This window comes from Homo sapiens, chromosome X (assembly GCF_000001405.40).
Source record: "Homo sapiens chromosome X, GRCh38.p14 Primary Assembly".
NCBI lineage: Eukaryota > Metazoa > Chordata > Mammalia > Primates > Hominidae > Homo > Homo sapiens.
In genome coordinates, this window is record NC_000023.11 from 77,572,347 (window position 1) to 77,586,688 (window position 14,342).

The 14,342-nt window shown below is 35.9% G+C and overlaps 1 protein-coding gene across 9 annotated transcripts in view; it reads right to left on the reverse strand.

Moving 5' to 3' along the window:
• ATRX (ATRX chromatin remodeler) overlaps positions 1-14,342 on the reverse strand; it is a 281,337-nt gene that overhangs the window by 67,467 nt on the left and 199,528 nt on the right. For all 9 annotated transcript variants that reach the window (XM_005262156.5, XM_005262157.6, XM_006724666.5 and 6 more), the window contains one exon: positions 1,904-2,012. In XM_005262156.5, the coding sequence (XP_005262213.2) occupies positions 1,904-2,012 (109 nt within the window). The remainder of the gene's footprint in view (positions 1-1,903; positions 2,013-14,342) is intronic.

Consider the following 14,342-nt stretch of genomic DNA (forward strand, 5'->3'; position numbering starts at 1 on the left):
TAATACAAATATTCAAAAATCTGAAAAAAATCCCATATCTGAAATTCTTCGGGTCCCTAGCACCCCCAAGCATTTTGGATAAGAAATACTCAACCAGTATATGCCTGAAGCATGAATTTGAATGACATGCTTTTTGGCATATGTTTAGGGGTAATTCACTAGTGAGTAAGCCAAGCTGACAGCTCAACATCTACATTTCAATGTTTTTCCCTACTAGTCATCAAGTATAAATGTCACGTGACAGATTATATGCCTCTGTCGTATTTTAAAATTTGGGAAACCTAGCAAGCCAAAGGTTTAGATTATGTTTGAGAAATTTGAGTTACTCAATAAAATTACTTCTTCACACTCATGTACAAATAATAATTTGTTTAAACATGAAAAACACAGAATATAAAAATGTATTTATTCTTTAAACAATTATATAATCAATCATATACATTTATAATTTAACTATACTCAAATCATCCCTTTGTAAGCTCTCTTAGGCTACGGGTTTTCAATAATTAATAATCTTCCTAAAATGTAACTGAAATTTCTCTAGCCTTAAGCCTAGGTCTAGTTCATGATGCTGCTAAAATTAAAACATGTTTTAAACACACAGTATAATATTCTCCATAGTTTAAAATATTTATTAAGGCATACTTCAGCCATCTTTCTACTAAACTAACCCCATCTCCTTTATCCTTTTCTTAAATGCCATGCTTTCTTATGTTTGTGTATGTGTATACGTATGCGTATGTGCATATGTTTAGATGTATGTATAGTCATGTGCCACATAATGTGTTGGTCAATAACAGACAGCATGTACAAAGGCAATCTCATAAGAGTATAATACATATTTTTACTGTATCTTTTCTGTTTAGATATGTTACATACACAAATACCATTGTGTTCCAATTGCCTACAGTATTCAGTACAGTAACATGCTGTACAGTTTTGCAGCCTAGGAGCAATAAGCTATATCACAGAAAGCCTACTGATGTACAGTACACTCTATGATATTTGCATAGTGACAAAATTGCCTAATGATGCATTTCTCAGAATGTATACTGGTTGTTAAGCAACATATGACTATATATAAAACTTTTTCTTTCCAAATGTAGCTTGATTTTGTCAATTACTAACAGCTTAAAACAATATCAATACACACACAAATTGCCTTGTATCTACAGTTAATGATATTAAAATGGTCAATAAGCACATGAAAAGATGCTCAACATAATTTATCATTAGGGAATAGCAAATTAAAATCACAAGAGATGCCACTACACATACATTAGAATGAGTAAAATAATTTTTTTAAAAAATGACAATACCATGTACAGACAAGAATGTAAGGAAACTGGAACTCTCATACAACTGCGGGTGGGAATGAAAAATTGTACAGTCACTTTGGAAAACTGCTTGATAGTTTCTTACAAAGATAAATGTACACTTACTATATGACCCAGCAATCACAATCCTAGGCTTTTGTTTCATTTAAGTAAATACTTATGTTCACACAAAAACTTGAACATGAAAGCTTAGAGCAGCTTTGATTTTAATTCCAAAACCTGGAAACAACTCAAATGTCCCTCAAGTGGAAGTAGCTGAACAAACTGTGATATAGCCCTATAATGGAAGACTATACAACAATTTTTAAAAATTATTGGTATATGCAACAATGTAAATGATTCTCAAATAAATCTCACTAAGTGAAAGAAGTGAGACTCAAAAGGCTACAAATTATATGATTCCATAAGTGAATTCAGTGGTTAGGGAGTGATGACACTGTTTTGCAACCTGACTGTACCTTGCATTTGCTAAAAACATTCAAATACACAATAAAAATAGTGAACTTTATGTAAATTTTAAAATTAATTATTTTAATGTTTCTACATATACAGAAAATTTTTCCTACCTCACATTAGTTTCATCATTAAATTCTTCAGCCCACTTCTTCCTTGACTGTGCAGTAGTGGAACCATCTAAACGGTAATAGTCAATGTTTCGAAGCCACTTCCCCTCACCTGAAAATTTAACAAAAGAACACAAAAGGAATTTGATATATCGCTCTGCTTACTGGTAAGAACAGATTTTCCACCTTGCTCATCATTTAAAAGTGGGTTATATATATTCTATTTGTATAGCAAAATACATTATATACTTTTCTTAATCAAGGAGTCATTACATTATAAATAAATTAACCACAGATTTCATTCAAATAGATAGTGATGAGCACAGGTATTTTTAAAGCCTATTTCATCTACATGAGAATTTCTTAAAAGGGTTTCCTTGATTAGAATCCTTAAAACTGTCAAAAGAATATGATTAAACTTACATTTCGCTCATGAGGCATGTTTTAAGTTATATCTGTAAATGGCCACGTTTTTCTCCTTATCAACAACTTGATAATGATCAAATAAAAATGAGAGATAAAGAATGCCTTTATTCATTCACTGAACAAATCTTTACTGAATGCCTACTATGTGCCAAAAATTATTCTATGGGGTAGCTGCAAATTTCAGTGTACGTTTCCATTTCAAATGTGGTGTGTGTGTATGTGTGTGTGTGTGTGTAAAGGAGTACGACTTTATGAGTTAATGATATGACATGTCAATTTTAGACAGTGAGTTTAAGTTTTTTTTTTCCTTTAATCTACACCAGGAAGAAGTGAGGTGAAATTTTACCCAAGACTTGCATTGATACTAAAATACCAAGAGATTAAGGGCTTATGACACTTTTATATTTTATCATACATAATTTCTATTCTAATTATTTAACTGTAAACACAATGCTACTATTTCCAATCCAAGCAAAATTCTATCATGCCCCAGAGCCTTAAAATAAAACAGTTAACAAAACTGAGATTTACTTATGTCTTTCCAGCAAGCTCTTTAAATTTAGTACATTAGTTAAAAAAAAGATGCTTTTCCATGTTTCTTACCTATATCTTCACTGATATAGAAAACCCAGAATTTCCTTGTTAAAAATTCATTAATGCTTATGAAAGTCATTTTATTTATGATTTTTTTTTCAATTAGAAAAAAAGGCATACACATCCAAGAAAAAAAGAATTTGAGATGGATACTTGCATAAAAAGGTAAGAGGCTGGAGTCACATTTGCATTAATTGTTCACTTGAACAGGATAATTATTAAAATAAATAATCATAAATGAATGGAAAATGATATGACTATTTTAAAAAGCATTTCAACATACTCACCTTTTATTATAATGCAAATGAATATCTCTAATACCACCTCGATGAATCCAACACTTAAAAACTGATAGAGTCATTATAGGTTAGTAGTTAAGAACACAGACTTTGGAGTGACACTCCCTGAGTTTAATCTCAGTTTCACCATTTACTAACATTTTCACTTATGGCAAGTAATTAAACTCCTTGTGCCTCAGTTTCTTTATCTGTAAAATGAAGATAATCAGAGTACCTATTGCATAGGGTTGTTATGAGGATTCAATGAGATAATATTTTAAAAACTACTTAGAATGGTGCCTGTCACATGGTAATTAAAAGCTTACTGAGTTCTTAATATTATCACTCAAGATCCCATGACAAATTACACCTGCCTCTATTATGGCACATAATATATGTGTCTGTTCCTCTTCTACACCATGATTTCCTGTAGTACCCCTTAAATCTTGCTCAGTGCTCAATACACAGTGGTAATGGTAATGGTAGTGGTAGTGGTAATAGCAGTAACTCAAAGGCAGACCAATCTGATTAGTAAACATTTGCTAAAGATAATTTACAAAATCAGAAATAAACTAGCAAGCATATAAAAGAAGTACAACCCTACTAGTGGTCAAAAAATTATTAATGAAAACAATGACAACTGTTTTTACCCATTAAAGATGAAGAAAATGTAGTTACAATACATATTAAGATAAGCATTTTCCATTTATTGATGGTAGTAAATTGGTATGTTTTTGTAACATAGGCTTTTCAATAATGAAAAACTGCCAGAACATAGAATCTAATAAAATGTATAGTGATAATAGAAAAAAAATATATTTAAGCTTATATTTAACTACAGTCAAATGTAAAAATACACATATATACTACACATATATATGTTAAAGATATGCCAAAAACTCACTCTAGAAACAAAGAAAGCGGGGAAATGAGAAAGATAAAAAGTGCAAGTATATACCTAGGAAAATGCCTAACTAGAGCATCATTCTCTGTATAAAAAAACTAGGGAAGTTACAGATAAGGGTAATTTATTCCCTTACCAGTTCAACAAGTATTTACTATGGACCTACTACATGTCTAGCTTGGTGCTAGACAAAGAGTATACAAAAATGGGTAGTAATGAACCTGTCTCCAATGATACATATATTTATGAGACAGACATAATCCCCATACAACATGGAGCACTCTGGGAAGCCCCGTGGAGTTATCTGTTCTCTCACACTCCCCATTTCCCCTTACCCACAGGCCCTGGCAAACACCATTCTATTTTATGTCTCTACAAATTTCACTACTCTAGGAACCTCATAATAGGAATCATGTAATATTTGTCCTTTTTAGACTGGCTTAGATCACTTGGCATATTGTCTTCAAGATTCATACATGTTCCACCATGTGTCAAAGTTTCCTTCCTTATTAAGGCTAAATTATGTTCCACTGTATGTATATACCACATTTTGTTTATCCAGTTATCTGTTGATGGACATTTGACTTGCTTCCATGATTTGGTCATGAATAATGCTGCTATAATGTGGGCGTACAAATACAAATACTTCTCTGACACCCTGAACTCAATTCTTGTGGGTATATACCCAGAAGTAGTACTTCTGGATCTCATGGTAATACTATTTTTAATTTTTTGAGGAACACCACACTGTTTTCCACAGCAGCTATACCATTTTACATTCTAACCAACAGTACACAAGAGTTCCAATGTCTCCATATCCTCACCAACTCTCATTATTGTTTTTTCATAGTAGCCCATCCTAATGGGTGTGTGGTGGTATCTCATTACAGTTTTCATTTGCATTTCCCTAAGGATTAGTGATGCTAGACATCTTTTCATGTGCTTCTTGGCCATTTGTATATCATTTTTAGAGAAATGTCTATCAACTCTTTTGCCCATATTTAAATCATATTATTTTTGTTGTTGTGTTGTAGGAATCCTTTATGTATTTTTGATATTAACCCCTTATCAGATGTATGATTTGCAAATATTTTTCCCATATGGTAGGTTGCCTTTTTACTGTCAAAATAGTAAATTTTATGTTATATATATATTTACCATAATACTAAAAAGAAAAAAAACTACCTATAAGAAGAGCCCAGGCCAAGATGGCTTCAATGCTGAATTCTAACAAACATTTAAATAATTAAGCTCAATGCTTTACAAACAATTCCAAAAAACAGAAACAGGAACAAATACCAACTCATTCAATCAGGGCAGTACTGGGGAAGGAGGTGGAATAAGATGGCTGAATAGAAGCTGCTACTGATCAACCTCCCAGCATAAACAGCAAATGTTATGACTATCTACACAAAAAAGCACCATCATAAGAAACAAAAATCAGGTGAGCAATTATAGTACCTGATCTTAACTTCATATCACTGAAAGAGGCACAGAAGGGGAAAGACAATCTTGAATCGCCAATGCCACTGCTACCTCAACCCCCAGAAGTGGCCACGTGTCATAGGGAGAGAATCAGTGCACTTGCGGGAAGGAGAGTGCAGTGATCATAGGACTTTGAATTGGAACTCAGCCTACACACATGAAGGGAGCATATAAACCTGCCCAAACCAGAGGGGAATCATCCATCACAGTGATCAGAAGTTGAGTTTTAGTAAGTCACGCCACAGTGGGCTAAAGTGCACTGGGGCCCTAAATAAAACTGAAAGGCTATCTAGGCCACAAGGACTGCAACTTCTGGGCAAGTCCTAGTGCTGTAAAGGGCTTGGAGCCAGTAAAATGGGGGCACTTGACTTAGTCAGATACCACTGGGGCGGCTAAGAGAGTGCTTATGCCACCACTCCTCACTCCTCCAATTCCAGGTAGCGCAGCTTAGAGCTCCAAAAGAGACCTCTGCTTTCTACTTGAGGAGAGAAAAGGGAAGAGAAAAAGCACTTTGTTTTGCAACTTGGATACCAGCTCAGTCACAGTAGGACAGGGCCCTGGGCAGAATCGTGAAGCCCCCATTCCAGGCCCTAGCTCCCTGGGCCAGAAGGCAACCCATTGCCTTGAATCGAGGGACCCAGTCATGGCAGGATTCATCACCTGCTGACCAAAGAGCCCTTGGGCCCTGAATCATCAGCAGCAATAACCAGGTAGTACACATTGTGGGGCATGGATTAGACAGAAATGTGTTAGGTTATGGTGAGACCCAGCTTATTAGAAGTTGTGGTGGCTACAAAGAGAGGCTCTTCCTGTTTGAGAAAAGGAGAGGGAAGAGTAAAGGGGACTTTATCTAGCAGTGTAGCTACCAGGTTGGCCACAGCGGACAAAAGCAACAAACGGGCTCTTGGGTCCCCAATTCCAGGCCTTAGCTCTTGAATGGAATTTGTGGACTGAGCCTGGGGCAGAGTGGAGCCCACTGCCCTGAAGGGTGAGTCTCTGGCCTGGCAGCATTCACCAAAAGCTGACTAAATAGCCCTTAGGCCTTAAGTGAACACTGGCGGTACACTGGCAGTACTCTCTGCGGGCCTGTCCTGGTGGTGGCCACGAAGAGAGGCTCCTCTGCCTGAGGAAAAGAAAGAGAAGAGTAGGAAGGACTTTGTTTTGTTATTTCTGTGCCAGTTTAGCCATAGTAGAATAAAGCACTAGGTATATTTCTAACATTTCTGGCTCCAGGCCCTGGCTCCAGAAAGCATCTCTATACCCGCCCAGGGACTAAGAGAATTTGCCAACATGAAGGGAAAGACCCAGTACTGGCAGGCTTCACCACTTGCTGAATGTACAGCCCTTGGGCCTTGAGCAAACATAGGCAGTAACCAGGTAGTGGTTACAGTGGGCCTTGGGCAAGACCCATTGCTCTGCTGGCTTAAGATCTGACCAAGTGCTATACCCGCAGTGGTAGTCACAGGGGTGCTTGTGTCACCCACCCCCCACCCCCAGCTCCAGGCAACTCAGCACAGAGAGACTCCATTTGTTTGGGAGAAAGTAAAGGAAGAGAACAAGATTCTCCATCTGGTAATGCAGACAATTCTTTTGGATCTTATACAAGACCACCAAAATGGTACCTCTACAAGGCTGCAAGAACTACAGCGTTACTGGCCTTAGGGTGACCCCTAATGTGGACACAGCTTCAGTGACTAAAAAGTTAGATCACAACACCCAAGTCCCTTCAAATACCTGGAAAGCCTTCCCAAAAATGACAGGTACAAACAAGCCCAGACTGCAAAGACTACAATAAATACCTAACTCTTCAATGCCAAGACACCAACGAAAATCCATAAGCATCAAGACCATTTAGAGAAATATGACCTCATCAAATGAACTAAACAGGGAATCGGGAAAATCCGGGAAAGACAGAGATATGTGACCTTTCAGAGAGAGAACACAAAATAGCTGATTTGAGGAAACAATGAAATTCAAGATAACACAGGAGGAATTCAGACTCCAATCAGATAAATTTAATGAAGAGGCTGGAATAATTAAAATGAACAAAGCAGACATTCTGGAGTCAAAAAATGCAACTGACATACTAAAGAATGCATAAGAGTCTCTTAATAGCAAAATTGATAAAGCAAAAGAAAGAATTAGTGAGCCTGAAGATAAGCTACTTGAAAATACACAGTCACAGGAGACAAAAGAGAAAAGAATAAAAAAGAATAAAGCAGGCCTACAAGGCATAGAAAATAGCTACAAAAAAAGCAAATCTAAGAGATATCGGTCTTAAACAGGAGGTAGAGAGAAAGACTGGCGTAGAAAGTTTATTCAAAGGGATAATAACAGAGAAACCCAAATCTAAAGAAAGATACTAATATTCAAGTAGAAGGTTATAGAATATCAAGCAGATCTAACCCAAAAAAGACTACTTCAAGGCACTTAATAACTCCCAAATGTCAAGGATAAAGAAAGGATCCTAAAAGCAGCAAGAGAAAAGAAACAAGTAACATACAATGGATCTCCAATATGTCTGGCAGCAGACTTTTCAGTGGAAATCTTTCAGGCCAGGAGAAGAGTAGCATGAAATATTTAAAGTGCTCAAGGAAAAAACTTTCACCCTAGAATTATATAAATGGAAAAAATAACCTCTAAACATAAAAGAAAAATAAAAACTTTCCAGACAAACAAAAGCTGAGGGATTTTATCCACACCAAACCTGTCCTACAAGAAAGGCTAAAGGAAGTAATTAATCAGAAAGAAAAGGACATGAATGAGCAGTAAGAAATCCTCTAAAGGTACAAAACTCACTAAAAACAGTAAGTACATAGAAAAATACAGAATATTATAACAGCGTAACTGTGGTGTATAAATTACTCTTATTATAAGTAGAAAGACTAAATGTTGAAGCAACAAAAATAACTACAACAACATATCAAGACATAGTACAATAAGATATAAACAGAAACAACAAAAAGCTAAAAAGTGGACAAAGTTAAGGTGTAGAATTTTTATTAGTTTTCTTTTTGCCTGTTTCTTTCTTTGTTTATAAAAACAGTGTAAAGTTGTTATCAGCTTACAATAATGGGTTTTAAGATAGAATTTCCAAGCCTCATGGGAGCCACAAACCAAAAAACATATAATGGATAAACAAACAAACAAAAAGGAAGAAACTAAACCATACCACTAGAGAAAATCACCTTCATTAAAAGGAAGATAAGAAGGAAGGAAAGAAGACGAGCCCAAAAAACAACTAGAAAACAAATAACAAAATGGCAGGAGTAGGTCCCTACTAATCAATAATAACATTCAATGTAAATGGACTAAACTCTCCAATCAAAAGACAGAGGGGCTCAATGGATTTTAAAAAATACCCAATGATCTGTTGCCTACAAGAACACACTTCACCTGTAAAAATACACATAGGCTGAAAATAAAGGGATAAAAAAGGATATTCCATGCCAATGGAAACCAAAAAGAGCAGGAACAGCTATACTTATATAGGACAAAATAGATTTCAAGATAAAAACTGTAAGAAGAGACAAAGAAGGACACTATATAATGATACAGTTCAATTCTACAAGAGGATATAACAATTTAAAATATATATGCACTCAACCCTGGGAGCACCCACATATACAAAGCAAATATTGTTACAGCCAAAGAGAGAGATAGACCCCAATAAAATAATAGCTGGAGACTTCAACACTACACACAGAAAATCAACTAAGAAACATCACACTTTATCTACACTATAGACCAAATGGACCTAATACATATTTACAGAATATTTCATCCAACAGCTACAGAATACACATTTTTTTCCTCAGCATGTGGATCATCCATATGTTAGGTCACAAAACAAGTCTTAAAACATCAAAAACAACCTGAAATAATATCAAGTATCTTCTCTCACCACAGTGGAATAAAAGGAGAAATTAATAACAAGGTATTTTGGAAACTATACAAATACATAGAATTTAAACAACACATTCCTGAATGACCGGTGGGCCAATGAAGGAATTAAGAAGGAAATCAAAAATTTTCTTTAAAAAATGATAATGGAAACACAACATACCAAAAAACATAAGACACAGGGAAAGCAGTACTAAGAGGAAAGCTTATAGCTATAAATGCCTATATCAAAAAAGTAGAAAAACTGCAAATAATGTAACAAGGCATCTTAAAGAATCAGAGGCTGGTCGCGGTGGCTCATGCCTGTAATGACAGCACTTTGGGAGGCTGAGGCGGGTGGATCACCTGAGGTCAGGAGTTTGAGACCAGCCTGGCCAACACAGTGAAACCCTGTCTCTACTAAAAATACAAAAATTAGCTGGGCATGGTGGCGGGCGCCTGTAATCTCAGCTACTCAGGAGGCTGAGGCGGAAGAATCATTTGAACCTGAGAGGCAGAGGTTGCAGTGAGCCGAGATTGCGCCACTGTATTCCAGCCTAGGCAACAAAACGAGACCTTGTCTCAAAAAAAAAGAAAAAAAAAACAAAAAAGAAGAGAAGAGAAGAATTAGAAAAGCAAGAACAAACCAAGCCCAGAATTAGTAGAAGAGAAATAAAGATCAGAGCAGAAATAAATAAACTTGAAATAAAGAAAACAATACAAAAGATCAATGAAACAAAAAACAGGTTTTTTGAAGAAAATAAACAAAACTGACAAACTTTGAGACAGACTAAGCAAAAAAGAGAGAAGACCCAAAAAAATAAAATCAGAGATGAAAATAAAGATATTACAACTGTTACAGCAGAAATTCAAAGAATCATTAGTTGCTATTATCAGCAACTATATGCCGATAAATTGGAAAACTTTAGAAGAAATGGATAAATTTCTAGACACACACAACCTACCAAGATTGAACCGTGAAGAAGTCCAAAATCTGAACAGACCAATAAAAAGTAATGAGATTGAAGCCATAATAAAAAGTCACCCAGCAAGGAAAATCCCAGGACCCAATAGCTTCACTGCTGAATTCTATCAAACATTTAAATAAGAAATAAGACAAATCCTACTCAAAATATTCTGAAAAGTAGAGAACAGAATACTTCCAAACTCATTTTACAAGGCCAGTATTACCCTGATAACAAAACCAGATAAACACACATAAAAAAATTAAACTATAAGCCAATATCACTGGTGAATACTAATGTAAAAATCCTCAACAAAACAGTAGCAAACGGAATTCAATAATAAAATGATCATCCATCATGACCAACTGGGGCTTATCTCCAGGGATGCAAGAATAGTTCAACATATACAAATTGATGTGATACATCATATCAACAGCATGAAAGACAAAACCCATATGATCGCCGGGGTGTGGTGGCTCACGTCTGTAATCCCAGCTCTCTGGAAGGCCGAGGCAGGTGGACCGCTCGAGGTCAGGAGTTCAAGACCTGTCTGGCCAACATGGTGAAACCTCGTCTCTACTAAAAATGCAAAAATTAGTTAGGCGCGGTGGCACACGCCTGTAATCCCAGCTACTCAGGAGGCTGAAGCAGGAGAATCACTTGAACCTGCAAGGCAGAGACTGCGGTGAGCCAAGATCACGCCATTGCATTCCAGTCTGGGCAACAGAGTGAGACCGTCTCAAAAAAAAAACAAAAAACAAAACCATATGATCATTTCAATTCATGGTAAGAAAGCATTTGACAAAATTCAACATCCCTTTATGAAAAAACACTAAAAAAACTAAGTACATAAGGAACATACCTCAAAAATAATAAAAGCCATCTATGACAGACCCATAGCTAGTATCATACTAAAGAAAGAAAAACTAAAAGGCTTTCCTCTAAGATCAAGAACATGACAAGGATGCCCACTTCTATCACTTATTCAACATAGTAGTGGAAGTCCTAGCTAGAGTAATTAGACAAGAACAAGAAATAAGGGGCATCAAAATTGGAAAGAAAAAAATCAAATTATCCTTGTTTGCAGATGATCTGATCTTAACTTGGAAAAATCTGAAAACTCCACCAGAAAACTATTAGAAATGATAAAGAAATTCTGTGAAGTGGCAGGATATAAACCCAACATACACAAATCAGTAGCATTTCTATATACCAACAGCAAACAACCTGAAAGAGAAATAAAGAAACTTACAAATTAAAAGAAAATTTTTTAAGACATCAAGAAAGTAATCCCATGTACAATAGCTATAAATAAAATACTTAGGAATTAACCAAAGAAGTGAAAGATCTCTACAATGAAAACTATAAAAAGATGCTGAAAGAAACTGAAGACACAAAATCATAGAATGATATTCCAGGTTCAGGGATTGGAATAATCGATATTATTAAAATGTCCATACTACCCAAAGCAATCTACAGATTCATTACAATCTGTATAGAATACCAGTGACATTCTTCACAGAAATACAAAAAACAACCCTAAAAATTTATATGGAACCACAAAAGACCCAAAATAGCCAAAGCTATACTAAGCCAAAAGAACAAAAGTGTAAGAATCACATTACCTGACTTTATACTACAGAACTATAGTAACCAAAACACTATGGTACTGGCATAAAAACACATAGATCAACACAATAGAGAACCCTGAGATAAATGTATAAATCTGCAGTGAACTCATTTTTGACAAAGTTGCCATGAATATACCCTGGGGAAAAGACAGTCTCTTCAGCAAATGGTGCTGGGGAAAACTGGATATACATATTCAGGAGAAAAAAACTAGACCCCTATCTCTCGCCATATATAAAAATCAAGTCAAAATGGATTAAAGATTTAAATCTTAGACCTCAAACTGCAAATCTACTACAAGAAAACATTGGGGAAACTCTCCAGGACATTGGACTAGGCAAAGATTTTTTGAGTAATACCCAACAAGCAGAGGCAACAAAAGCAAAAACAGACAAATGTGATTTCATCAAGTTAAAAAGCTTCTGCGCAACAAAGGACACAGTCAACAAAGTGAAGAGACAACCCACAGGATGGGAGAAAATATATGAAAACTACCCATCTGACAAGCGATTAATAACCGGAATATATAAAGAACTCAAACAACTCTACAGGAAAAAAAATTTAATAATCTGATTTTAAAATGGACAAAATAATAATCATTTCTCAAAAGAAGACATACCAATGGCAAACAGGTATAGGAAAAGGTGCTCAACATCATTCATTATCAGAAAAATGCAAATCAAACTATGAGATATCTTCCCACCCCAGTTAACTTGGCTTTTATCCAAAGTCAGGGAGTAACAAATACTAGAGAGGATTTGGAGAAAAGGGAACTCTTGTACACTGCTGGTGGGAACACAAATTAGTAAAACCACTATGGAGAACAGTTCAGAGGTTCCTCAAAAAATTAAAAATAGAGCTACCATAGAATCCGGCAATCCCAGCCAGACGCAGTGGCTCACTTATATAATCCCAGCACTTTGGGAGGCCAAGGCAGGCAGATAACCTGAGGTCAAGAGTTTGAGACCAGCCTGGCCAACATGGTGAAACCCTGTCTCTACCAAAAAAATACAAAAATTAGCTGGGCGTGGTAGTGTATGCCTGTAGTCCCAGCTACTGGGGAGGCGGAGGTGGGAGAATCCCTTGAACTCAGGAGGTGGAAGTTGCAGTGAGCCAAGATCACACCACTGCACTCCAGCCTGGGTGACAGAGCAAGACCTTGTCTCCCCCCACCAAAAAAAAAAAAAAAAAAAAAAAAAAAAAAAAAAAAAAAAGGATCCAGCAATCCCACTCCTAGGTATATACCCAAAATAATGGAAATCGGTATATCGAAGACATATCTGCACTGTCTATTGTAGCACTGTTCACAATAGCCAAGACTTGGAGACAACCTAAGTGTCCATCAACAGATGAATGGATAATGAAAATGTGATACTTATATACAATGGAATAGTATTCAGCCATAAAAGAGAAAGATCCTGTCATTTACAACAACATGGATGGAACTGGAGGTCATTAAGTGAAATAAGCTAGGCAGAGAAAGACAAACTTTGCATGTTGTCATTTATTTGTGGGATCTAAAAATAAAAATAATTGAACTCATGGAGATACAGAGTAGAAGGATGGTTACCACAGGCTGGGAAGGGTAGTGGGTGGTTGGGGTGGAAGTACTGATGGTTAGCAGGTACAAATATATAGTTGGAATGAATAAAAACTAGTAATTGCTAGCACAACAGGGTGACTACCGTCAAAAATAATTAAAAATTGTATATTTTTAAATAACTAAGAGTATAAATGGATTTTTTGTATCACAAAGGATAAATGTTTGAGGTGATAGATATCCCATTTACCCTGATGTAATTATTATCTATTGCATGCATGTATCAAAATATCTCATGTAACCCATGAATACATAACACCTACCATGCACCCACAAAAATTAAAAGGAAAAAATCAGACATTGGAGTCAGGAGGAGGGAAGTCAGTACTGAGGAGTGTCACTGGACATGAAAGATGAAGAATGGATAGGAATTAATCAGGTGAAGAAGATAGTGCGGGTGGAGAGAGCATTGCAGGCAGACAGAAACATAGCCATCAGTCAGCAGTAAAAGCAAAAAGAGATTAGCAGAGACAATCTATGTTACTGGTTATAAAATAAATGCAAATTAAAACAAATACAAGATATCATTATTCATCTATTAAGAAAGGTTTTAGTTATTATGGCAATGGTGTAGTGATCATTCAAGGATTCCTACTAGGAGTACTAATCCAACTGTTCTGGAAAATAAGTTGACAATGTTTCAAAAGTCCTAAAAAAGATCATACCTGTTGGTAAATGA